At 45.7% G+C, this 27,285-nt stretch overlaps 1 long non-coding RNA gene across 3 annotated transcripts; it reads right to left on the bottom strand.

Annotated features, from left to right (window-relative positions):
* Nucleotides 1–10,435: 10,435 nt before the first annotated feature.
* On the bottom strand, nucleotides 10,436–21,861 carry LOC105372697 (uncharacterized). Of its 3 annotated transcripts, none has more exons than XR_007067686.1 (3): nucleotides 12,526–21,861; nucleotides 12,289–12,400; nucleotides 10,436–10,518 (listed from the first exon to the last, which is right to left on the bottom strand). It is a non-coding gene; the product is annotated as an uncharacterized LOC105372697 (long non-coding RNA). The 3 variants fall into 3 exon arrangements; XR_007067684.1 differs by having other exon boundaries at nucleotides 12,522–21,861; XR_007067685.1 differs by lacking the exon at nucleotides 10,436–10,518 and adding an exon at nucleotides 11,346–11,820 and having other exon boundaries at nucleotides 12,522–21,861.
* Nucleotides 21,862–27,285: the final 5,424 nt, after the last annotated feature.

Here is a 27,285-nt window from a genome sequence, read left to right on the forward strand (position 1 = left end):
AAAAAAAAAAAAAAAAAATACCTGGAGAGCCTGTGAACATGCATAGTGCTGGACCCCATGCCAAAGATACTGATTCAGCCTGTCTGGGGTGGGCCAGAGATTCTGCATTCTGTCTAAGGAGCTCCCAGGTGAGGCACATTTGCAGACCACAGTCTGGAGGTTTGAGGACTTGGAAGACCATGGCTGACATATCTTGAGTCTCTGCCTTGGTATCCTTTGCCAAGCAGAGAAATGCACTGTTTATGTTTTTCAGGAGCTCAGGAAGCAGAATGCAACCCATGCAGATGTAGGGGCTGGATTCTCTCTATGACTGAGTGGGAGTCTCAGCCCCAAGAAATGCCCCGGGTTGGCCCTGAAATCCACAATGGCTTGCTGGGCTGGAGGCCACCAGCTGATGGGACCCAAGAGAGGAATGAATTATTTATCTGGACTCCTCACAGAGAACAATGCCCTGCAAATGTCCCCCGCACCATGCTGGGTGGAATTCATAGTCAACCTAACAACCAGCTTAGCATCTTCTCTCCCGGACCTTGCCCCTCCAACCGTATCGAACTTTGAGGAGCAATTAGGGAATTGCTTGACATCTTCCCTGCGAGCTCTTGGGTCACAAAAGCTAATTAACCTTCCTCTTGCCTTCCAAACTAAGTAACAACCTCCAGAGCCAAGTCTTCTGGAACAAAACAGGAAGGAAGAAAGAAACTAAGAAAGAAGCACTGTCTCTGATTTTTTTTTTTTAATGAAGGTTAACATATAATTTTTAAAATGAACTCCATGGAAAGGAGGTTGTGGGGTTCACAACCCCTGGGAGCAGTTCCAGCAGTGCCAGGACGGTCTCAGTGGCAGCCCTCTGCTCATCTTTGAGGTCTACTTTGCCCAGCAGCTAACTCTTGTAGGTGGAAACATGGTGGCTTCTTGTTCTCTGGGAAGTTCTGGATGGGAACTTGATGTGGGAAGTTGTGAGGTGCCCTGAACTTGGAGGTGGGGCTCATTGGCACCACAGTGATGGTCCCATCTGTGCCATGTAGACTTGACCAAGCAACTCAAGGTGTCCTTAATGTCCCAGACTGAGAGAGAATTTGCCGGCCTCCACCTTGGAATATTGTTGACTTTCAGTGCACGACGCAAGTCCTCTCCTTCAACACTCCTCTCTAAGAAGATACACAGTCAAACACTTAAGGACTTGGGCTTGCGGAGGGTGTAGATCTGGGCTCAGATTCCCATTCTGACACTTACTGGCTACGTGACCTACACTGTGATTCCCAAATGCCTGCATATCCACATACCACTGTGTCCCACTGCACTAGCTACCCGGAGCTGCCATAACACATTGCCACTAACTAGGTGGCTTAAAACCAGAGGAATTCATTCTCTTATAGTTCTGGGGGTCAGAAAACTTTTTTTTATTTGTTTGAGATGGAGATTCGCTCTTGTTGTCCAGGCTGGAGTGCAACGGCATGATCTCGGCTCACCGCAACCTCTGCCTCCTGGGTTCAAGCAATTCTCTTGCCTCAGCCTCCCGAGTAGCTGGGATTACAGGCATGTGCCACCACGCCCAGCTAATTTTGTATTTTTAGCAGAGACAGGTTTCTCCATTTTGGTCAGGCTGGTCTCAAACTCCCGACCTCAGGTGATCTGCCCCCCCTTGGCCTCCCTAAGTGCTGGGATTACAGGCGTAAGCCACCACACCTGGCCCTGGGGGTCATATATCTTAAATCAAGGTATCAACAGGACCAAGCTCCCCAAAAGCTCCAGGAAAGGATACTTCTTGGCCTCTCTTCTGGCTTCTGGTGGCTGCAGCAATCCTTGGGGTTCCTTGGCTTATGGATGCATCACTCCGTACTCTGCTTCCGTCCTCACTTGACCTTCTCACCTACCTTCCTTTACGTCATCTTCCTTCTGAGATGCTCTGTGTCCAAATTTTATTCTTTGTAAAAGGATGCCAGTCATTGGATCAGAGACCACCTTAATCCAGGATGACTTCATCTTAACTAAATTACATCTGCAAAGATTCTATTTCTAAATAAACCCACATTCTGAGGTTCTGGGTGGGCATGCTATTTGGCAGGACAAAGTCAACACAGGACACTCATTTTCAGGATTGATCGCATGGTTTGAGGAAGCTGATGGTGACATCTCTTCTTAAATCTGTTTTCAGGAAAATCATACTGGTAGCCTTCAAGTGGCCATGGTGGGAGCATTGACCCAGGGAAATCCACATTTCCCAACACATGCTGGATACCTGAGGACTCCAGAGCTACTATCTGCTCATATCTGCTCAACATTAAAAAAAAAAAAAAAACCTCACATTGTTAAGTGAAAAGGTTTATTGGCAGATTTGCTTAACTCAATTTGCAAAGATACCTTAGACCAGGGGTCGGCAAACTACATTCCACAGAACGAAGCTGCCCATTACTTGTCTTTTGTTTGTTTGTTTGTTTTGTTTTGTTTTGTTTTGAGATGAAGTCTCGCTCTTGTTGCCCGGGCTGGAGTGCAATGGTGTGATCTCAGCTCACTGCAACCTCAACCTCCCTGGTTCAAGCAATTCCCCTGCCTGAGCCTCCCAAGTAGCTGGGATTACAGGCACATGCCACCATGCCCAACTGATGTTTTTGTATTTTTAGTAGAGATGGGGTTTCACCATGTTGGCCAGACTGGTCTCGAACTCCTGACCTCAGGTGATCCACTGCCTCAGCCTCCCAAAGTGCTGGGATTACAGGCGTGATCCTAAGTACAGTTTTATAGGACAACCATGCTCATTCATTTCCGTATCGTCCACGGCTGCTCTACAGCAGCAGAGTTTAGTGGTCAGGACAGAACCGGCACAACCTGCACAACCTGCACAACTTTCAAAGGCTGAATATTTACTCTCCGGCTCTTTAGAGAAAGTTTGCAACTCCTACTTTAGACTGATGCTTCTCCAATGCTAACGCGCCAGTCACCAAATCACCGGCATCTGGTCCCAGCCTCCAACCATAAACCACAGCTGAATGGAAACTTGGTAGCGCTTGCCTTCAATAGCAGATGCTGTAAGAGGAAAGCAAGGTGACCAAGAAAACATTGCAAAACTCTGGGCAGAATCTGGGGCCTGAAGACTCTGAGTCAGAGGCCTCTTTTTTTGCTCTAAACACATATTAGCAAGAGTCCAAGAGGCATCAAAGATGAGTTAGCAGCAAAATGAGGCTTTGTCCTTCATGTAGAAAGGATTAAATGATAGTTGAAAATGCAATAACTTTCACCCTGTGGGATTCAGTGATGTTCAGTGCTGTGATTATGTCCAACTTCAAATCTTGCTGTCCCAACTGGGACAGCCCAAACATAGGGAGCCACTGCACTAAGATGTTATGATTTATTAAGATAATAAAGCTAGCGGGATGACAAATGTTTCATTTTTCCCCCATGTGTTTCCCCCAAAGGACCGTCTGCTTTTGCATGTGATTTGACTATGCGCTGAGGACCTAGCGTGGTATATCAGCAAAGTGGAAAAGTGACTGAAGTGACTGTTTATCATCTTGTACCAAGTTACACCACTTTAAGCTTTAACTCCACAGCTCTTGCATTATTTTAAAACCGTCTGGCAGATCTCTAAAACTAATGGTACAAACCACTCTGTGATACATTAAAATACATCCCACTCTGTCATACTGCAAACAAGTAGCTGCTCCCCAGTCTTTGAAAAAGTACTTTCAAGATAAAATATGTACTCATGGGTTCTGCAGGTTTTTAAAAAGTCTTGAATCTTCACAGATTTACTGGGGGGGAAGGGGCGTTTCATGTAAAATGTGTTTTTCCTTGACATTTAGAGGTCTTGCAAAGTGGTTTATTATAGATCTTGTGGACATCTCGCTATTTAATTAAATTTCAGAAATATATTCTCTGCACTCATAAGAAGGAATATGAAGAGTGTATTTGTTCACTGTCTATTTATTATTCGTTTTCTGTTTCTAACACAAAATTATCAGTTCGAAATAAGTCATCAGAGGCACTTAAAATTTTTCAGGGTCAGAACTCTAATTAACCTCAGCAACTCTGCTTAAAATGTTGAATAATATAAGACAAGTCCTTACAGGAATCTTTGGTAATATTCAGTCTTGGTGATATATTTACAACTATTTTTTAAAAACTGACCTTCAATGTCTATTTTCAAAAGACGTGAGGGAATGGAAAGCAGATTGAGAAACAAGTCACTTGTGAGGTCTCATCCAACACATTTCAGTAAATTATTGCTGGATGTAAGCAGCTGAATTTGTAAACGATTTCATTACCTTACATTTTATAGAGAAAATTAAGAGTAAGTTCACAGTAAATGAACCTCTAGTCTGAAAATAGCTCTTTCTCCTCATTTAAACCTGAAATCAGAAGGATACAACCCAAATGTGTTCCACCCAACACATTTTGAGATAAATACATTTCACAATTGTCTTATTGGTGGATTTGCTTAACACAATTTGGGTATTTGTTACCCTCTGATGAATTCAGAGGAGTTTTTCAGAGGATAACATTGCATGTTTGCAAAAAGTTTGCATGTTTGCATGTTGCGTGCAATAAGTTTGCATGCTCACAATAAGTTTGCGTGTCCTTTAGTGCTATCTTTTATTTTTCTGTTAGGGATTCTAGTTTGCAGTAGAACAATTTCCTCCTGCAGCCTCATTCAAAGTACCATCAGGATTCAACCTGTTTCTCTCCATGAGACTGTTTTGCTCCTAACTTATCAGAATAAGAGCTCACGAGATCAGCAGCTGACGGAAATTGTCGGAACAGGAGCTGCTGGCACCCGTGTAGAAAGCACAGAAAATATGAACAGTTGGAGGCCCCTCCAGGCAAGTCACCTGGGAAGGCTGGTGACAGGTGAGAGGAATTGGCACAGCAGGTAGGAAGGTGGTGGGCAGGCAGGTAGGTGGGCACCTTACCCATTAAGAGCTGGAAACCTTGGCCAGGCTCAGTGGCTCATGCCTGTAATTCCAGCACTCTGGGAGGCTGAGGTGGGCAGATCACCTGAGGTCAGGTGTTCGAGACCAGCCTTACCAAGATGGTGAAACCCCATCTCTACTAAAAATACAAAAAATTAGCAGTGTGGTGGTGGGCGCCTGTAATCCCAGCTACTTGGGCAGCTGAGGCAGGAGAATGGCTTGAACCTGGGAGGCAGAGATTGGAGTGAGCCGAGATTTCACCATTGCACTCCAGCCTGGGCAACCAGAGTGAAATTCCATCTCAAAAAATAATGAATAAATAAATAGCTGGAAACCTTGAGGGGAGGCAAGACTGAGAAGGGAGAGCCCAGGGCAGACATTAATGTCCAGTGGGCTGACTGGGTAAGAAGTGAGGAAGTGGAAGCCAGAGCCCAGGGAAAGAGGGGAGGGAAAGTGCTGATCCCGGGGCCACTGGGCACCAGGCTCGTGTTAGTTTCCTGTGTCTCCTGTAAAAAATGACCGCAAGCTCAGTGGCATCAAAGAGTGCGGATTTAGTATCTTACAGTTCCAGAAATGGGAAGTGGGAAATGGGCATCCCTGGCTAGAATCAAGGTGTTGTCAGAGCTGTGATCCTCTTGGAGGCCCTGAAGGAGAATCCGTTTCCTGGCGTCTCTGGCTCTGAGGGGCTGCCCACTTTCCTTGGGTCACAGCCCCACCCTCCATTCCTAAAGCCCGCAACCCTGGGAAGAGACCTGCTGCTGCTGTCTTCCACTTATAAGGACCCGTGACCACACTGGACGCCCCTAGACAGTCCAGGATATGCTCCTCATCTCCAAAATCAGCTTAACAAATGGAAACCCTCCTGTAACCCTAAGCCCTCTGTTTCATGTATAGTGACATAGCCACAAGATGTGGTTGTTAGGCTCTAGGTATCTTTGGAGCCATTATTCCATCTTCTATACACCAGTGCAGAACAAAGGCTTATTACTCATGGGGAATTTGCAAGATCTGGTACCAAACAGGATGTGGCTGGAGGCACAATTGACCCTTGGTTCTGCTGTGTCACACACCACCTGCAAATCTAGTGTCATAAAACAACTGTTTTGTTATGTGCACAGAATCTCTGGGTCAAGAATTCAGCCAGAGTGTGGCAGGGACACTGTGTTTCTTCTCCATGAGATCTGAGGCCTCAGCTAGGAAGATTCACACATGGGGGTGGCTCCATGGCTGGGGGCTGGAGACGTCTGAAGTTACCTTGTCTGTGTGTCTGGTAGTGGATGCTGGCTATTGCCTGGGACCTTGATGGGAATTTCTGGCTCGCAGCTGGGACAGCTACAGCCAGCCTTTCCACCTGGCCTTGGTGTCCTCACAATATGGCCACTTCTGGGAAGTGGAGCTTCCGGTGCCATGGCTGAGGGCTCCAAAGGCCTCCAGCCACAGAGGTGGAATCCGCATTGCCTCAGAGGTCACACCACAGCATTTCTGCCACAATCTGTTGGTTTTAAGAAAGTTACCATCCCATCCCCTCCACCTCCCTAATTCACAGTGAGGAATATTAGATTTCATCTCCTAATGAAGGAGTGGCATGGACTGAGAAGAGCCTGCAGGATGGGAGAGCCTGAGGCATCCGTCTTCAGAAAAACAATCCGCCACTTTCTTTTAGGATCCTGGCAAGGCCAGTCCTCAGCAGGAATGCAGTGGTGGTTTCCAGCTCAACCCTTATTCTGGGGTTGCCAGATGTAGCAAGGAAAACTACAAGACATCCAGTTAAATTTGAATTTCATATGAACAATGATTTAAAGTATAATTATGCCCATGTGATATTTGGGATATACTTATGCTAAAAATTTTGTTTATCTGACGTTCAATTTTCACTGGGCTTTTTTACATTGTATCAGGCAAACCTACTCCATGCAGAATGCCCATTTAAAAATATGTTGATCATCATCCCTGGACATGAGGGAGGAGAAAGAGTAACAAGGAGGCAGCTTTTAAGAGGAAACTCCTGCAGAGGGAGGCCAAAAGACCCAGACCCCAGGTGGTTAAACTTGTTTATTCCTTGGCCCACTTCCTCAGAGCCAATGTGATCCATTTCCACTTTCCACAGTCTGTAAAAATACCTCCCAGCCTTCTGGTAATTAATGGGAAGTATAGAACCTAATCTTCTGATGAGCTTTCAATTAGCCTGTGTCTAATTTTCAAATGCTCATGAATAAATGATTAACTCGGATCAGAAACAAAAATCAAAGAGCTCACCTGCTTATAAACAGAACAGTTTGAGAGATCACCTCATCATCATTTTCATAGACTGCACCATCATTGCCTTCCTTATGACCCAGAAAACAAGAATCGTCAGCCTTTACTGAGCATATTCTCTGGCAGACACCATCATGGGTTCCTTAGTCTCTTGAAAAACTCACTGGCTAGTTTCTATTATTTTCTGAACTACACAAACCAGCAGATGGGTGGGTGACCAGCCCAAGGTCCCACAGCCAGAAAGCAGCAGAGCAGGAAGGATTCAGTCTGGGTCCCCCAGCCCAGGTCCTTAGATCTTCCATAGGAAGCACTTTTGTCCCTACGTTTCTTCAAGAGCATAGCCTTTTTGCCTTGTGAGGTTAGAAAAGTGAACTAGTGTGCACTAGCATTGGGGTGAATAGGTCCCTCTGGCTGCTACAGTGCCATGAATATTGTCCCCCCAAATATGTCTTGAGTCCTAATCCCTGGTAATCCTGAACGTGACCTTGTTTTGGAAATAGGACCTTTGAAGATGCCATCAAGGGCCTCCAGATGAGATCATCCTGGATTTAGAGTGAGACGTAATCTCTTTAGGGCTTTAGGTCTCTTTGCTGTCCTTATAAGAGAAAGGAGGGGACGTTTAGAGGCGCTGACAGAGAAGAAAGCCATGTGAACATGGAGGCAGATTGGAGTGATATTTCTACAGGTCAAGGAATGCCAAGGTTTGCTGGCAGCCACCAGCACCCAGGAACGAGCCATGGAAGGGATATTCCCTCAAAGCCCCCAGAAGGAACCAACCCTGGTTTCAGATTCCTGGCCCCCAGAACTGCAAGGCCATGGATTTCTGTTGTTGTTAAGCCATCGGCCTTGTGGCCCTTTGTCACGGTAGCCACAGGAACACGGAGACTGTCCCTCTCTCAGGCCTACCAGCTGCTCTGCTCCATCCCTATCATCCCCAAAACCAAAGCCCCCATGTTTCTTTTCATCACAGAAAACACACTGCTTTAGCTTCTCCTCCTTGTATGTGAGATGCAAATAGTGATTTGTGATTCTGTGTGTGCCTCTGCCTGCCCACCTGGTGCTGGGGAAAAAACAAATCGTGTCACCAGCACCCCTACTGGGGTCTTCAGAGGGAAACTTAGAGTAACATGAAGGCTTTGTGCTTTTCTTAGTCACATAATAAAAATTACAGTTTTTATAACTCGAGTGACTAAAACACTTAAATCACCTCCAGGAGTGAGCCGGCCAGCCACTTGTCAGTGTGGCTCCTGAGAGAAAGCTGAAGGGGGCATGTGTCTGGAAGGATGAGAAATCACTTGCTAAGTAAGAAGCTCACTGAGTTTAAACCAAAACTCAGCACCTCTGGTTTTAGGCAAACTTTTCAAAGTCTTACAGTTCCTGTTTTCCTGTGTGCAAATACCCCTAGGAAAGGGTGGAAGCAGAACTGAATTTTGCTGGTTTGCTTCTTTCTTAGGGTAAATTCTGCTATGTCTCCTCCAGCCCTGACCAAACTTCAAATATGAGGAAAATAAACATTGTCATATATCAACCGGCCAGTTCCCAGCAATTCCTGCCTGCGTGCCCATGCAAGGGGAGGTCTGGTGCTGCCTCCTGTAGTAACTACCTGTGGAGCCAGCTGAACTCATTTTCCCCTGAACTTCAGAAAGTGCCAGAATCACCCCAGAGCACTTGAGTACTTGCCCTGTGAAGACAGCAAGGAAATGGGAGAGGATTTGAAGGATTTGCTTAAGAGCGGCTTTGAAGTCCTCCAACAGGGTGAGAGAGCCAGCTCAGCACAGACCCAGCCTAGAGAAGGAGCATTTTTCTAGTGGGCTCATCTTTAATTTGCAACTATGGCACAAAGGAAGGAGCAGCTGTGGAGACCAGGGCATTGGTGAAATGAAAGCATATTGTTTCCCTCCATCTTCCCCACCCTGGGGAGGCCAGGGTTTCTCCAAGGCAGACACTCTCTAAGTGAAATCTATGGAATTTTGGAAACAAGATAAAAGACATACTCGACTGCAATGCACATACTCACCGTGGAGCCCGGCACGCAGGGTAAAGACTCGCTGGGTTTGCATTGCACATTCTCACTGAGGAGCCCGGCACGCAGGGTTCAGACTCGCTGGTTTTGGGTTGGTGGACTTCATTTTCTTTCACGCTGCTGCTTGCCCAGTGGGTGTAGACAGCAAGAAAATGAAGAAAATCAGTCCAAGGCCCCTTGCCATGGCTGTGCCAGTCACTCACTTTTAACCTGCGCAAGTTCTGATTTATTCTAAGCCAACTGCCTTCATCAGAGAAATGGAGATAATGGGGATAATGCTTTACTGGGTAGTTTGGAAGATCAAATAAGGTCGTGTCGGTCAAGATAATAGCATTGACTGTCATTGATTGAGTGCCTGCCACGCCTGGGCACCATGCTAAGTGCTTTGCAGGCAGGGCACTGATTTGCTCCTACTTTACATTGGAGGATAGGGAGGCACAGAAAGGCGAGGGAACCCACTCAAGGTCATTTGGCGCAGTAAGGAGCCAGGACTCCAACCCATATCTAAGCTGGTGCTCTAACTCATTACGCGTTTTTATAAAGCACCAGACTGTAAATATTTTCAGCTTGGCAGGTCTGAGTGGAACACAAGAACTCAATGAAAGTGCTTTTTCTATTCTGTCACTCACAACAATCAACACAGAAGACCTCTGTGATCAAATGTGGCAGGGAGGGGTTTCCCATACACACAAAGCAAGCAATCAGTTCTGCAGCAGGCCCAAGCTGGGTGTCCTCTAATGCAATTCCGTGGAGATAGCACCAGGTCCCGCAGGTTGAGGGCTGAGTCCCCGAGACTGCTTCCCACCCAATTTCAGTGCCAATCACAAGCCCCGGGTTGTTTTACCAGGGCTTCTGCCCGAGGGGCTGTAAATTGGAGTTCCCAAAAGCCCTTCCTTGGGCTTAGTGAATTTGCTAGAGTGACTCACAGAACTTATGTTTAACAGTTTATTACAAAGGATATTTCAAAGGATACAAATACACAGCCAGATGAAGAAACATGTAGGGTGAGGTCTGGAAGGGTCTGAGTGCAGGAGCTTCTGTCTCCATGGATTTGGGATGCACCAGCTGTCTGGCATGTGGATGAATTCTTGTTCACCTTCCTGCCTCCTGGAAGCTCCCCAAACCCTGTTCTCTTGGACTTTTTATAGAGACTTCTTTGATAGGCAACCACGTAGAAATGTGACTGGACAAAAAGATCTGGTCTAATACTAACGGGCCGAGTGGGGAACTCCAGTAAAGCCTGTCTGTTCAGATTCTTCTAGGCCTCCTCATACAGCATTCCTTCCTCCAGAGTGTGGGACAGAACCCATTCTGAAATGGGCCTCTTGTGACCTGTAATTAGACAAAATAGGTCAGAAAATATTTTTGTTGCTAGTTCCCAGAGAGGCAGGGGAAGATTCCTGCTTTGGGGAGAAAAGGAAGCAAGTGAAAGGAGGGAAGGGGAAGATCAGAGAGACAGATTCTGTTTCTAGGCCTGTTCCTGAGGCCTAAAGCACACAAGGTAGTAAGAAAGGCTATGGGAGTTATGAGCCATGAATGAAAACCTCTCTCTCTCGATGTATACATATATATACGTACACACACACACACATATGTATATATAGTTATCATATATGTTTTATATATCTATAGATAACCTAATATCACCACAGGTCTCTCTTGTATCTACTCAACTACTCAACTCTGCCACCGTAGCACAAAAGCAGCCATAGACAATCAATGAACAAATGGGTGCGGCTGTTTTCCAAGACAACATTATTTACAAGTCAGGCCGTAGGATGGGGAGGGGCTGCAGAAGGGTTGAAGGGTCTGTCTTTGTCCCTTTGGGCTGCTATAACAAAACACTATAACCTGTGTGGCTTGTAAACAACGGGAGTTTATTTCTCACAGTTCTGGAGTCTGCCAAGTCCAAGATCAAGGCACCGGCAGATTCAGTGTCTGGAGGCCCCACTTTCTGGCTCATGGATGATGTTGCATGTGTCCTTGCATGGGGGAAGGGGAGAACTCCAGCCTCTGCAGCCCCTCATAAAGGCACCCATTCCATTCAGAGGGCCCCACCCCCATGACTGAATCACCTCCCAAAGGCCCCACCTCCTAACACCATCACACTGAAGATGAAGGTTCAGTGTATGAATTTCACAGGAACATGAGCATTGAGTCCATAAGAGAGTTTTATTTGGAGTGTTGGAAGTGCCTGGAACTAGATAGAGGGGTACACTGGGAATGTACTAAGTGCCACTGAATTGCTGGCTTTAGGATGGTTAATGTTATATGAATTTCACTTCAATAAATTATTTGTAAAAATCAGGCAATAGACCCAATTTGGCCCACAAGCCATAGTTTGCTGACCCCAGCAAGCTATCCCTTGTCCCAAACTAAGTTAGATGTAGATATCTGAGAGAAGTTAGAGATCAAGTCTTTATCAGCTGCCAGCACCTTAAGTTGATTGCTTCCATATAGACAGAGGCTCTTGAGTCAGGCAGGAGGGATCTACAGTCTGGGTGTTCAGTGCCAGCCCAACTGGGTTTGCACCGTGGCTGTGCCAAGTGGTAGCGGAGTCATCCCAGGCAAATCATTCAGTATCTCTGGTTTCGTTTCGGAGGTCTTTAAGATGGGGACAATAAGGATTCCTTCCTTATGGAGTTAAGAGGATCGGCTGAGTTAATACAGGTGAATTATCCAGACAGAGCCCAATGCATAAGTATCTCACCTACGAGTTTGCAATCACTTTAATGTTAATAAATGAAGGGGCTTTCCTTACCCACGAGCTGCTGCTTGCTAACACGAGAGCTCCCTCAGGCAGCCCTGTGTTTTCAGAGTTGGCACAAGCAAGCCACGGGTAGGTATCGTAACAAAGGCAGTCAGGGCAGTTCGAGGCAGATGTGGCTTCTTCCCAGGAGCCGGCAGGTGCTGTGAGCAAAGCCCAGGCCTGATAACGCCTGTTTCTCAGGAGGTAGAGCCACACACATGGCCTGAATCTCTCCATTCTTCAGCGCTCACAGCCCCTAGAAGTGCCCAGCTGACAGTGGAAGAGGCTTCATCTTGGCCACGGAAGGTTGGCCTTTCCCTGGGTGTGGGTCAGGGCTCAGGAAAGAAACTGACCATGAACTGACACTGGTGATGAAGAGTTTGATAAGGAGGTATTTTCCAGATGTAGGCAGGTTGAAAGAACCCTGGGCTGCTAATAATGGAGGAACCACTTCTGCCCCAGTGCCTGTAGGAGCAAGGAGGGTAGCAGTTATGGCAACTGAGAGAGGGAATCTGTGAGGAGCCACAGCTGCATGAAACCAGCCACCCGATGGAAACGGGGGCTTCAGAAGAAGGGCAAGGCCAACCTACTGCACTGGAGCAGAGAGAAAACCAGAGGAACAAATGCCTCAACCATTCTTCATCCTCAGATGTGTTCTCCCTTCAGGGGCCAAAGCTGAACAGCAGCCGCTCTAGGCTGAGACCATCTCCACGGCAACCATTTCAACCAACAGTTGAAAGTTCAACAAAAATCCTAGAGAAGGTTCTGATTCTCCAGGATGGAGTCTTCACTGTTGCCAGTGGGAGAAAGCATTCTGATTGGCTAATCCTTGTGTGCAAAGGGGTTCAGACAAGAAAGAGAAGCTCAGAGACCCAAGAATAAAGGAAGAGCAGCAGGCGGCAGAGGATGATTGTATCTGCTGACATCTGCCACACTCATTTTTTCTCAGAAAGAGGCTGTTCCAACCTTCCCTGGAATCACCAGTATTTTGCAATGACCTTCCGCAGGAGCCTACAGATCTCCCTGTTTCCCCCGCCCCCTCTTTCTTCTCCTCTTTTCTCCTATTTCTTAAAGAATAGACTGTTTCTTAGAGCAGTTTTAGACTCATAACAATATTGAGTGGAAGATACAGAGATTCCCCACATATATACCCTGTTCCCACATGTGCACAGCCTCCTCCATTATCAGTGTCCTTCACCAAAGCAGTGCATTTGTTACTATTGCTAATCCTACATTGACAGGTCATTATCACCCAAAGTCCATAGTCTACGTAGGGCTTACTCTTGGTGGTAGACCTTCTATAGGTCTTGACAAATGTATAATGGAATGCATCCACCATTACCGTGTCATGCAGAACAGTTTCACTGCCCTAAATATCCTCAGTGTGCCACCTATGCATCCTGCCCTCCCTCTAAACCCTGGCAACCGCTGATCCTTTTTCTGTCTCCAAAAAGTTTTGCCTTTTCCAGAATGCCACATATTTGAAGTAATACAGTATGTAGCATTTTTGGTTGGCTTCTCTTGCTTAGTAACATGCATTTAAATTTCTTCCAAGGCTGGCTGCAGTGGCTCACGCCTGTAATCCCGGCACTTTGGGAGGCCGAGGCGGACGGATCACCTGAATTTAGGAGTTTGGGACGAGCCTGGCCAACATGGTGAAACCCCGTCTCTATTAAAAACACAAAAATTTGTCAGGCATGGTGGCACGTGCCTGTAGTCCCAGCTACTTGGGAGGCTGAGGCAGGAGAATTGCTTGAACCTGGGAGGTGGAAGTTGCAGTGAGCCAAGATCGTGCCACTGCACTCCAGCCTGGGTGACAGAGTGAGACTCCATCTCAAAAAAAAAAAAAAAAAAAAAAGTTTCTTCCAAACACTAACTCCATTGTCTGAATGCATCACTGTTTGTTTATCCATTCACGAACTGAAGAACATCACTGTCGCTTCCGAGTTCTGTCAATAATGAATGAAGATGTCATGAACATCCATATGCAGGTTTTTGCGTGGCCATACATTTTTATCTCATTTAGGTCATTACCAAAGATTGAGGTTGCTGGATTGTATGGTAAGACCACAGTACTCCCTTATCCCACGGGGACAAGTCCCAAGACCCACAGTAGATGACTAAAACTGCATGAATTTCTTTTTCCTTTTTGACAATTCTGTGGATAGAAGATTCGTTTTTACTGTAGGTCTTAGCAACCTCAGCATACCATATTTTTTCTTTCCTTATTAAGTCTAGAGCTTTCCTGTTTTCACTTAAAGCACTTTATGGCTTCTCTTTGGCATATCTGAATTGCCAGCATCAATAATCTCGCCCTTTGGGCCCACTATTAAGTAAAATAAGGGTTACTTGAACACTAGCACTGTGAGGCTGTGACAGTCAATCTGATTACCGAGACAGCCACTGAGTAGCCGAGGGGCAAGCAGCATAGGCAGTGTGGAGACCCCGGACAAGGGATGGTTCACATCCCAGGTGGGACAGAGCAGGACAGCCAGAGATTTCATCATGCTATGAAGAATGGGATGCAATTTAAAACTTATGAATTGTTTATTTGGGGAATTTTCCAGTTTTTTTTTCACACCATGGTTGACGGAAACAGCAGAAAGTGAAACTGTGGACAAAGAAGACTATTGTGTGTTGAGCTTTGTAAGAAATTGCAAAAATGTCTTCCAAAGGAGCTTAACTCTTTTGCATTCCTACCAGCAGTGAATGGGAGTTCCTGTTGCTCCACTTCTTTGCCAGCATTTGGTGTCATCGGTGTCCTGGGTTTTGGGCACTCTAGTAGGTGTGTAGCATCCTTGTATTTATTTATCCTAAATGTGGATTAAGTGCCTCTCCTAGTTTCTCAAAATAGGATTAAAATCATGCTATTTTGGTATTTATCACAACTTCATGGAAAGGTGGGAGGGACAGGAAGAAGTTGAAGGAAGGCTATGATTTTAAGCCAAGTTCCATCATAGAAGTCGGTCTTCACGAGACGTGCTTCTCCTAAACCCTCAACCGGACACCAGGTTTCTACACCGACTCTCCAGGACTGTATCCCACGTCCCACCTGCCATCAACAGAAGCATCTTGAATCCTAACTCCTACTATGGGTCTGACCACCTTAAATCTTTGGGAAACAACAGAAAGACCTCTGCAGCCCGAGCCCGATACACACAAACTCAAATACCAAGCCCAGCTCCCGAGACACACCACCAACTCCAGGTGAATTCTGTCCAAAGAGCTGACAGCTCTTCAGATGATCGTGCAGCATGATTTCACTTCTCACTGATCAGAATCTCTTCATTCCTCCGCAGGGTTTGGGATTCCTCTTTGCCAAATCAAAAGGCTCATTGAAGTGCTTTGTGATTTTTTTTTTGGTTAATTTTTTTTTCTGAAATAAAGGACTGATATTCCTCCTAAGGACAAACTCAAAAATTTCTGCAAGCTTAAAAATAGCAGCATGTCTCCCTTCATACCCATCAAGTATTCAAAAATACAGGGTTGAGTCTCAGAATATCCAGTTTACACAAGGAAATATTAAAATTAAATTATTGTGAAAATCTATTTTCTGCTGGGAAGAACTGACCTGTGATGTGGCATGATGTTTTCTAGAAAAGCATCTCGATTTTGCCTGTTCACAGGGAATCATAGCTGGACCTCAGAGGTCTACATGTCGGGAGATCTGTTGGTTTGGCAAAATGCTTTCTCTCTTCTTCCACCCATGTCTGGAGATGCATTATAATTAGTCCCTCCTGGGTTCTGTTCTCTATTTTTCTGATTTTTTAAAAAGTACTTTTTAATAGATGAGCTCTCTCTGCCACCCCCAGTCAAGACTTTGCAGTTTCTGTAATCACAGAGGTAGGAAATCAAAACAACAGAGGAGATTTGGCTCTGAGCTTCTGTGTGTGTCCCTAGCGGTGGGGGACATTTTGCCCAACAGATTTAACTGGTACCTTTGTGTTCTGAAGATAATGCTACTCCATTATCTGCTATTGTGATAAACATTTTATGATTTCAGAGAAAACCTTGTGTGTGTGTGTGTGTGTGTGTGTGTGTGTGCGCGCGTGTGCGCGCCTCTGCACAGATTGGTTCCTCTTCCTCTTCATTTGGGAATGTTTACCACATCTTCTGGAACTGCTGATTTCAGTCAGTAAACCAATTGCAATCAATATGGGCATTAAGCATCGATCTAAGAGGCAGAGCAGTCCATGAAGGGGACCAGCCAGCAGCTGCTTCTCTATGCAGTGTTCTCTTGGACTCTAAGTCATCCCCTGGGCCATCAGGATCCCCATCCCACATCCCATAAGGCCTGGGGGGCCGCAGGCCTGAAAAGACTGAATAACATCAGATCTCTCTGGCTCTGCTGAATACAATAGGAGCTCACATCCTCAGGGAATGTGCATACCCTGAACTGTTTCTTCAGAAGCACATTTGTCCTGTGCGCCTCTGCACACTGTCTTCAGAGTTGTAGGTGCCAGGAGACATCTGACCAGGACTAAAGAACTCACTGACTTACAAAGAACAGTTATGAAAACAATGGTGAAGGGTCCTTGTTGGAGCGTTGTTGATTGTTGCTGCGCCCATGACTGAGTAGAGCGTCAACGAGGCAGTGAAGAGCCATGTGGAGGCTGATTCCAATGTAACTGCTGTCCAAACAACACGAGCCCCCACGCAGTTTTTACTATAGGTGGCTGATTTCGGAGCACAACAGTTTGAAAGGACTGAAAAGGAAAGATCCACAGACAAGATATTTTCCACATGATTTCAAAGGGGTTCTACTTTCCTGAAGCCTCACTTTAGACCCTAAGTTCAGAGCTCTTATTCTCTTAAATCTGCTCTGAAAACAAGCATGCTTATTTATCCCCTGATTATTTAACAAATACCAATTGAGAGTGTATTAGGTACCAGGCATTGGTGACATCTGGGTGAACAAAACAGATGGATCCTGTCCTTTGGGAGATTACAGTTTGTTGAGAGAGAACACACTATAAGACAATAATGAACAAGTAGAGTTATAAAATGCACAAGGGCTATAAATAAGCCCAAATCATGACTAATAGAGATGAACTGGTGCTGACATGGGAGGTCATTTACTCAGAATGCTGGTCCAGAAAGATCTCTGTGAGGAGGTTGCATTTAAGCCAGGCAGAGAGAGGATGAGGACAAGGGTCCTGAGGTTGGGAGGAAATGGGATGGTCCAGCACGGAGTAGAAGTCAGTGCGGTTCCTCCCGGGGATCCTAGGGGAGAAGGGGAAGAGGTGAACAGAACTGAATCATGCAGAGTCCTGCAGGACAGGTGGGGGTTTGGGATTTTCTTCTAAGTTTGATAAGAAGCTAAGTACGGATGTGACCTATGGCCCATTTTAGGTTTAAGACTCCTCTTCAGCTGTAGTGGAGTGAACTAGAAGGGGCAGGAGTGGGGGAAGCTAACTAGTGCAGTTATCCTGGTGAGGGCTGATGGCAGGCTGGACTCAGATGGTTGCGGTGGTGATACCAGCGGGCTAGGGGAGGTCTCCAAATGCCAGTGAGACCTCGACCCCGGCCGGTGTCAAGGCTCTTGATGCTGTCATGTGAAGGAATTCAAGGATGAGTTGGAAAAAACTACAGAGATTTATTGTGAAGAGAAAAGCTTGCACTCAAGACGGGAGTTCAGGAATACTCAAGAGAGTCACACCCGAGGCAACTTGGGACTTCCATCTTTATGGGTTTCTCTAACGGGGGGTGGAATATTCATGAAAATTCCTAGAAAAATGTAAAGGTTTCTCAAAACTGTGTTGCCACCCGTTTTTACACCAAACATGTGTGTTCCCAGAATTGTCCTGGCACTGATGGGTGTGTGACTCAGAATGTTAATGAGCATATAATGAGGTCCTAGGTGAAACCTAGGTCAAATCCAGTGCCACGCTGGGTCCAGTGGTCTTAGCCAGCGTGGCCCACATCCTGTTGTTCAGGGTCCCATTGGCCCCTCTCTTCTGCAGCTATTTCAGCAGTTTCCTTTTGCTAATCATGCGACACTGCTGCCTGGAAGTTTCTAGTCTCCGGTGACCACCTGACCACCCTGTATTACTCCTGTCTCAGTGGGGATGGAGAGAGGTAAAGCAATTTGGGGTACATAAGTGGTGTGCCAGTAAGCCAGCTCTCTGGAATAAACAAAGCCCTTAGTGTTAGGGTTTGCCGATTTCCATGGTGTAAATACTCCCACAATGGGCTGACCCCTAGTCACCAGTGCGAGGTCATGGCCGAGGTGAGAGGCCTCATGTACGGTCCAGCTGCTTCCCCCTGCTGGCTGGGAGGAGAAACCTGAGGCCTGTGCATTGACCAGTCTCCCACTGTTTGGTTTGAGTCATTGAGAATGGCAGTTCCTTCAGTTGGGAAGGTACAAGACTGCAAGGGACACAGATTTGTGAGTGGGGCAGAGGACCTGCAAAGAAAGGCTGTCTGGAGCTCCTGCCCTCACAGGTGTCTCCACCAGCCCACAGAGGTCTCTCCCCTTGGAAACCTCTTGCAATGGTGTTGGTTCTACCTGATTAGTCTCTTATCACAAGCACATGGCCCTGCTCGCTAAGTGTCTGCTCACATAGTTATGCAGAGATCTGTGCAGTAAGTGGTAGCAACAAGAGTGCTGGGCTGGAAATCCAGAGATCAGGAAACTGGGACTGGTGGAAAATATGCTCGGGGTTACCTGAACACTGAACTGCTCAAATGCAGGCCTTCTGACCCGAAAGGGCCCACCTTCTCCTCTAGGTCCAGCTGCTAAATTTGCTAATTCTTAAAAATCTATTCAAAACAAAACATAAAAACTAACCAGATTTTTTTTCTCGTTTTTTTTCCTCTGCCCCGTTTTTCTACTGAATTATTATGCAAGAGGAGAAGTAGCCTGTGCTGAAAAATGCATAAATATTCCGTCTATAGTAAGGCAGAGAAGTAATGAACCTCAGTGTAAACCCTGCAACATACAGAGACAGCAGCAAATGTGTTCATTTAGAAATTACGCAGGTAGTGTGCTTTGAGCTTTTGTTCTGTGTTAATCCTTCAGGCGCTGGTTAAACCAAGGCGTTGTACGCGTGGTGGACCTTGATCTGAGCCCTGCTGAGATCAAAGGCTCAATCCGGAAAGCTTTCTGCTGATTTTCTTGTGTCTTCTACCATCTCCAAGCACTCTGAGAGCAATTTCAGAGCAACTGTCAAAGCTGGCAGATGATGTTTATATCAGGATGCTGTTTGTACTTATTTATTTAACATCTGATGGTGGCAGCCAACCTGCCCATTAGACAGTATTAATAAAATGCACAATGTTAACAAGGTATACAGGAGACTTTTCGCTTATCCTTATCCACTTAACCCAACACAGAGCTTTTAATCTGCATTCAGGTAAAGCAAGAGGTTAAGAAGAAGCAAGAAGCTGGGCGTAGTGGCTCATGTGTACAATTTCAGCACTTTGGGAGGCTGAGGCTGGAGGATCACTTGAGGGCAGGAGTTTGAGACCAACCTGAGCAACATAGAGAGACCCTGTCTCTATAAAAAAATATAAAAAATATATAAAAAAAAAGCTGGACATGGTGGTGTGCGCCTGTAGTACCCAGCTACTTGGGAGGCTGAGGCGGGAGGATCATTTGAGTCCAGGAGGTTGAGGGTGCAGTGAGCTCTGATCACACCACTGCACTCCAGCATGGGTGAGAGACCAAGATCTTGTTTCAAAAAAAAAAAAAAAAAAAAGCAAGAACTCAAGAACTCTGGGATCAGATGGATCCAGGTTTGAATCCCAGCTCAGGTTCTTATTCACTGCTCGGTTTCTGCAGGTTTCTTAAGCTCTCAGAGTGTTTGCGTTCGTGTCTGAAGTGAGAGTCATCTTAGAGCCATGTCCTAGAGCTGTTCTGAAGATTACAAGTCCAGGTTTAACCATATTAATGATGGTCATTATCATGATTATTATATTTATATTCATAACCTAAGTCCAACAGATATGGGCTAAGAGCCCAGTTCTGCCTTTTACTCACTGGTCACCTTCATCCCAGCATTCTCCAAGGTTGTTTGGGTGCACCCCAGATGTTGCCTCCAGCCCCCTATCTCCCGTCAGCTCTGAAATTTCTGCACACCCTGGGAATTTACTTCCTTACAGTCCACTTCAGGGCTGGGTTTCTCTTTTCCAAATCTCACTTGCTCTTGTCTCTCTCTTCTGACTTAAATGTAAAATCAGGCTCTTGTCATCTGATTCACACACACATATACACACTCACTCACTCACAAAACATCTGTGTGTGTCACAGGCTTTACTGACAATGGAGGGAGTTGGAGGGCTTTCCTATATGAGACCTAGGTGCCTGACAATTAAAGCGCCTCCACTCTGAAAAGCCCTGGGGCCCTTCCACCTTGGCACTTGCATTTCCTATCTTTCTCCTCAACCCCTCCCCTCTCTCCTCTCCATCCTCTGTGGTCCCAGAGCCTACTCCTACATGGAATCCCAAGACCTCTAGAAAGACATGGCGATTCAGAAGCAAGAGCAGGGAGGCTTTCCTCTGGCCCCTTCATTATCCAATCTGAGAACCTTTGACGGACTAGCTACAAAAAAACCAACCAGGATAAATTCCTTACCCACCTCTCTAACCTCTCCCTGATGGCACTAGGAGGTCCCACCAATCATTTGAAATCTTTAACGGATGAAAAACAGATGTTAGACATTCATCCAAAAGCATTGGTCAGCCACGGTAGCTCACACCTGTAATCCCAGCACTTTGGGAGGCTGAGGTGGGAAGATGGCTTGAACTCAGGAGTTCAAAACCAGCCTGGGCAATATGGCAAAACCCCATATCAACAAAAATACAAAAAGTTAGCCAGGCATGGTGGTGCGTGCTGTAGTCCAGGCTACTTGGGAGGCTTGAGCCCAGGAGGTCGAGGCTGCAGTGAACCAAGATGGTGCGACCGCGCTTCCAGCCTGGGTGACAGAGTGAGACCCTGTCTCAGTAAATAAATAAATAAATAAATAAATAAATAAATAAGCATTACATTAAAAAGGGGTGTTTTCTATTTAGCACTATTATGTCCCAGGGAAGAAGGACTCCTGTCCTAGAAGCTGAATCTGTACAACTGCAGCCAAACCCTCTTCCCAAAGGACCTCATTGAAAGGCAGAAGTCAAGAAGTGGTTATCACTTTAAGAGTTAAAAGAGAAAGGTACTATTAATTTTCCATTTTTAGCCATGAAATCTGTAGCTGTATGCTTATGAGAAGTATTATTTTAACCTTTGTATTTCTCTTTACATGACTTTGTGGAGACAAAATTAAAAGTTAAAAATTGATACCTGACATCAAAAGCTCAGCATGCTGAAGGGTACAAGCCACGAAAAGAAAAAAAAAGAAGAAATGGTGGCCTTTGAAGACTTTGCTAATAGACACATTGAAGAGTTTGCATTGTCTACAAAGATCTATGTCAGAGAAATAGCCTAGAGAGATATGTGGCAGGGAAGGAGAAAATAAGATTTGAGTACTTTGGCATGAGCCCTTACAATTAACATAAGACATCTGAAAAGGTTTCCAGAAACTAATCAAGACAGTATACAATAAGGTACACCTGCCAGCATACCCATATTTCTTTTCTATTTATAAATTGTGGATTCTTTCCCTGTATCTCTAATAGTAATGAAACATTTTACCTTAGCTCGTCTTCCCTGCTTCAGTGACACCCTCTGGTGTGCCATGACCCAGCTAGCCTTAGTCCACAGTGGGTCCAGGGAGGTGATCACCCATGTGCTTATGAAGGTAAAAAATTCCTGCTCAGGTCTCAATGCAACTCTGTCTCCAAGAAGCCCTAAGAACGAGGAGAGATAAACTTAAGAATACTGCATGCCTCTTTTCTGATTATAAGAAACATCTCTGTAAATAAACCATGACTATAAAAATATAGACAAGATAAGTATTGTGTTGGAAGGAAATATATCCATCAAGTAAAAAAATATTAGTAGATCAAAGGAGTGAAAAGAATAACTAGCATTTATTGTATGTTTACAATGTAACAGGCACTTTACTTAAACTGTTTCTTTTATTTTGTACAATGACCACTTTAAGTACTAGAATTTCTATTCCCATTCTACACACAAGGACAGTGGGGCCAAGAGAGCTGAGTGGGGGCCCAAGGACTGCCAGTGCAGAGTCTTGGCTTCCAGCAGGGGTTTCGGAGGCTGCCCTACTGCAGTGACACAGCTGCAGCTCCATAGAAAACAGACCCTCTTCTCCCCTCTTTCCTGATCAGTCACCATGTATATAGGTGACAAGAACTTTCTTCTTTCTCCTTTCTTTCTTTCTTTCCTTCTTTCTTTTCTTTCTTTCTTTCTTTCTTTCTTTCTTTCTTTCTTTCTTTCTTTCTTTCTTTCTTTCTTTCTTTCTTTCTCTTTCTTTCTTTCTTTCTTTCTTTCTTTCCTTTCTTTCTTTCTCTTTCTTTCCTTCCTTCCTCTCTCTCTCTCTTCCTTCCTTCCTTTTCTCTCTCTCTCTTTCTTTCTTTTCTTTCTTTCTCTTTTTTTTTTTTTTCCAAGACACAGTCTTTCTCTGTCACCCAGGCTGGAGTGCAGTGGTGTGATCTTGGCTCATTGCAACCTCCACCTCCCGGGTTTAAGCAATTCTTCTGCCTCAGCCTCTGGAGTAGCTGGGATTACAGATGCACGCCACCATGCCTGGCTAAATTTTTTTTTTATTTGTGGTAGAGATGGGGTTTCACTGTATTGTCCAGGCTGGTCTCGAACTCCTGACCTTGCGATCTGCTTGCCTCGGCCTCCCAAAGTGTTGGGATTACAGGCATGAGCCACCGCGCCCAACAACAAGAACTTTCTAAACTCACCTCTTTGTTTATTTTCACCCCTTGCTTTCCAACGTGAAATGTGCAGTTTTGTGGAAGTTCAAACAAGCCACCCAGCTGAAGCCTCCCTGGGGAGACCTGAACTTCTGCACTCAGGCAAGACCAAAATTAAGATGCTTTTGCTCTTTCCAGGCTTGTCTTTATCCATCTAAATAATAAATACTCATGTCCCTCTATAGTGATACATCTCACCTTTATGATCAAGCACCTCAGTGCCGTTTGAGTGATGGATTTGTCAAAATTCCTTGAGGGCTGGCCTCTGCCACTGCAGGCTTGCAGCCCCCACCCCCATCTGTTTTACTTTGGAACTGCAACAGCAGAGCATCTGGCTGACCTCCGGCATATCAGGCGGTTCCTTGTGCACTGAGGTGCTGCAGTCTGTGCTGGGCCCTGGGGCTCCTTCCCCAGATAACACCGTGGCTCTTCAGGCTGGGGCCTGCCAGTGTCAGGACTTCAGCCTGGCCACAACGGGTGTCCTCACTTCCTTAGGACCTGGACAACCACATAGCTAGCTTTTTATTTGTTAATTTATTTTTATTGGATATTAACAAATTATAATTGTATATATTTATGAGATTATATTTATAATTATATATATTACGAGATACAAAGTGATGTCATGACATGTGTATGCCATGTGGAATGCTTGAATTAAGTTCACTAACATATCTATCACTTCAAATGTGTATTTTCTCCTTTTGCCTCACTGAAACATCCTTTCGCCTCTCACTGAAACATTGCATCCTTGACCAGCATCTTCCTATTCCCCGACGCTCCAGCCCCTGGTAACCACTATTCTGTTCTCTGCTCCTATGTGTTTTGATTGTTTTAGGTTCCACAGAGAAGGGAGGTCATGCAGTGTTTTTTCTTTTTGTACCTGGCTTAATCCTCTTAGTATAAGGTCTTCCAGGTTCATCTGTATTTTCAGAAGTGACATAAATTCCTCATGTCAGCCCATCTCATGCAGGTGGGTCAGCATTTGTGTCCACAAGGCCCTCTCTTACGAGATACCTGAGATTTTCAATGCTAAGAGCAGGATGAGTACCATCAGAAAATATGGCTCAGAATTCAGGAAACCTTCTACATAGAAGAAAAAGTAGATAAGCAGGAAGGTATCTTCACTTTGACAAAAAAGCCTGCTGGGTCCTTGAAAGTGGCCACATCCAGAACAAACATAGGCCCTAAATGGAAAAGAGAATTGACTTAAGGAGAGAAACTCTTCCCACTGCCTCCCAGCATGAAGACATGAACACTTAGGTTGAGCTCCAAATACATTTTTAAAAATATAAAACAAACACACACACCTCTCTGTGCTTTATATTTTGTCCAAGAACATGATGGAAAGGCATTCTGCAGGTTCCAGTTTTCTTTGGACCCATTTGAGCAGTTCTGTGACAGCAGGTTTGTGAAAAGCTTCAGTTCTTTTATGTCGTGGACCACTTAGCGTCCATCCCCTCTTCTCCATGAGGAAAGGAGCATAGAGCAGCCTACTTTAGCCAGCCGGGATTGACTCACCTGCACTGAAGACTCACCTCCACTGCAGCATTGGAGATTTGCCTAAGAATATAACTAGCGTGTATACATACGTACACAAACACGCACACACAATATGTAAATGTATTAAGATGACTGACTAGGCTGGGTGTGGTGATGCATGCCTGTAGTTATAGTTGCTTGGGAGACTGAGGTGGAAGGACCCTTTGAGCCCATGGAGTTGAGACTGCAGTGAGCTGTGATCACACCACTGCACTCCAGCTTGGATGACAGAGCGAGATCCTGTCTCTAAAGAAAATGTCAGTTATGGCACAGAAAGTCCTGTGTCCTGGGAAACCTCACAGTCCCAGGCAAACTGGGGTAGTTGGTCACCCCAGTGTCTGCATTTCTAGAATGGACAAGCTTCATCTCCCCGCTCCTACTTCCTGGAGGCTGGCACCCACTGAGGCTAGAAGGAGACCTTCTAGTTGTGTGATCAAGCCTGAGATGGAGAGACATTCTGTAGGCATCACAGGGAGAAGGATGTGCACGAGATCTCACTGTCTTTAGATGTTTTGCCCCAAAGTTGCATCACCACAAGGCCCTTGGTTTAAGTCACTGTCTTTTCCCTACTCCATCCAGTAGCAAACCCAGAGATAACAGCATGAAGACTGACAGCTGTGTAGAGGTCGCCCAGAGGGCGCTGGTCCTCATTCTGCCTCCTTACTGGATGTAGTCTGAACACAAGTGTCCAGGCCCAACAGTGGCTGAAGCTCTTCATTCAAGACTGAATCTCTGAGCAACCTGGCAGCACTTAGAGGGGAGAACATGGCATGTGCCACGGACAGAGACTGCAGCTAAATTCCAAGGGAGGACTGAGGAGCAAGGAAACAAGAGGGCCCAGGGAAGGGAGGGGTCCAGAGGGAAGCGTGACAGGCACCGACCATGCTGTTGCCATCCCTGCAGGGACCCAGAGAAGGGCAGGTGCTGTGCTGGGCTCCGAGAGAGCCCTCACTGCAGAGTAGATGTGGGAAGGAATGTTGGACTGTGAGGTAACATTGGGATGGGTGGCAAGGGCCAGGAAAGGGCCACATCTTCCTTCCAGGTCAGCCTTTCATTTATTCATCATTGATGGAGTACCTACTATATGCCAGGAACCATTCTAGGTATTGAAGCTACAAATATAGCAGGGCTGAATAATATCCTCATATTCACATGCACATAGAATACTGAAAGCCCTCATTTTCTTTATATCAAGGAATGAAAACTCTGAGTCTTCATCCTTCCTGGCAAGAGGAAAATGCAACCTCATTAGTTTTGAGGAATTACCCCCCATCTGCAGGCCCCATAGAAGTTGCAGGGTTTTAGGCAGCACCAAGCATTGAGGAGGCTGCCCTGGCCATTGCCATCAGGCAAAGGTGCCTGTGTGCCAGGGTAAGACCTGAGAGGTCCAGGGGCTCTGCTGCAGGTGCTGTCCTGGGCTCCAGGAATCACTGGCCAGGAGCTCTGGGATGCAAGGCAGGTGTGTCATACAGGTGTGTCCTAAGTTGTAGCCAGCGCTGGGGTCTCTGCTGCTTATGGATCCTCTTTTCCCATCCTCCTCATCTATCTGCTCCTAGGAGGCACTCCTTTCCTACAGTCCTGCAGATTCAACTCCATTCCAGCTTTCCAACATCCTCTCCTCGTGTTCTTCCCACCCTCTGCCCACTTCTAATGTCTGCCAAGTTCCTTCCTGTTTCAAGGTCTTTGCACTTTCTATTCCCTGTACTATCAGTGTTCTTTCCTGGATTTTGCATGGCTGTGTCAGCCTAACTTTGGCCTCATTTCAATTGCCATCTTTACAGAAGGGCCTTCTGTGGTCACTTGATTTTAATGGTCCTCATCCTTCATCACTTTCTATTCTACACCGTGTTTGCTTTTCTTCATCGTAAAATATTGCATCTTACGTATGATGGTGACTTGTTTATCACATGTCTCTCCTAGAAGAATGTAGGCAAATGTAGGCAAACTTTGTCTTGTTCACCACTGAATCCCTGGTGACCTTTCCAGCCTCTGGCACATAGTAGGTGCTCAATAAATACCTGTTGAATGAAGGACGAATGAATTCAGAAAGTCTGGCTGCTCCCACACTAGGTACAATACACTTAGGGTTCCTAACTCCTGACTCCGAAGCATCCCTGTGAGTAGAGTTGACTGACTAGAGAAGTGGTCTGTTTTATTTTGTTTCTGGATCTCATAGAATACATCTATTTCTATCTTAATTAAAAAATAAGAAGAGGCAATAAAATGTGCTGTTACAGATTGGCGGGGTAAAACAATTGGCTTGACAGTAATCTAGGAATTTAATTATAGCAAAACATGCCCATGGAATATACATACTCAGGAAGAAAGAGTTTAAGAGCTTCAATAAATCATTGTTTTTAAAAACAGAAGAAGGCTTTGTGATCGTCCAGTTACTGCTGATGAGGCCATAAAGAAGCTCTAAGCAGCCTCCATGCCATGCATCATGGGCTCTAATGTGCAGGTGCCTCTTTAGAATGGAAAGCTGCCTGGGAAAAGGCTAAACCACGTGGTTATTTGTCTCAAATGGACAACAATGACTCAAAGTATGGGGAAGCTGGTTAGCGAAGCTCCTTCATGACTGACCACGTGGTCCTGCACATCTTTGACTAGGGTCCTAAGGAGAAAGGGAGAAGGGCAAGAATTGGCAGGAAGTGGTTGCAGCCCCAGTTGGGCAGTCACCTGGGTAGACAGGTTCTGGGAGCTCACCAAGCACAGCAGGCCTGGCTGCTCTTCCTCCAGGTTCAGGAGGGCTGAGGGCATCCTTCTGGGGCCCGCTTTCCTGGGTATGGGTGCAGATACAGAGTGGCTCTGCAGGCCTTCCTGTTCTGGCACCTCCTTCATTTGTCAGCTCCCCAGAGAGGCCTTTTGCCTATCTACCTAAAGAACTTTCCATTCTTGCCCCTCCTCACCACCTACCCATCACCGTCTTTAATCTTCTTCAGAGCCTTTATCCCCATCAGAAAGTGTCCTATTGAATAATTTTCTT

This window comes from Homo sapiens, chromosome 20 (assembly GCF_000001405.40).
Source record: "Homo sapiens chromosome 20, GRCh38.p14 Primary Assembly".
Classification (NCBI taxonomy): domain Eukaryota; kingdom Metazoa; phylum Chordata; class Mammalia; order Primates; family Hominidae; genus Homo; species Homo sapiens.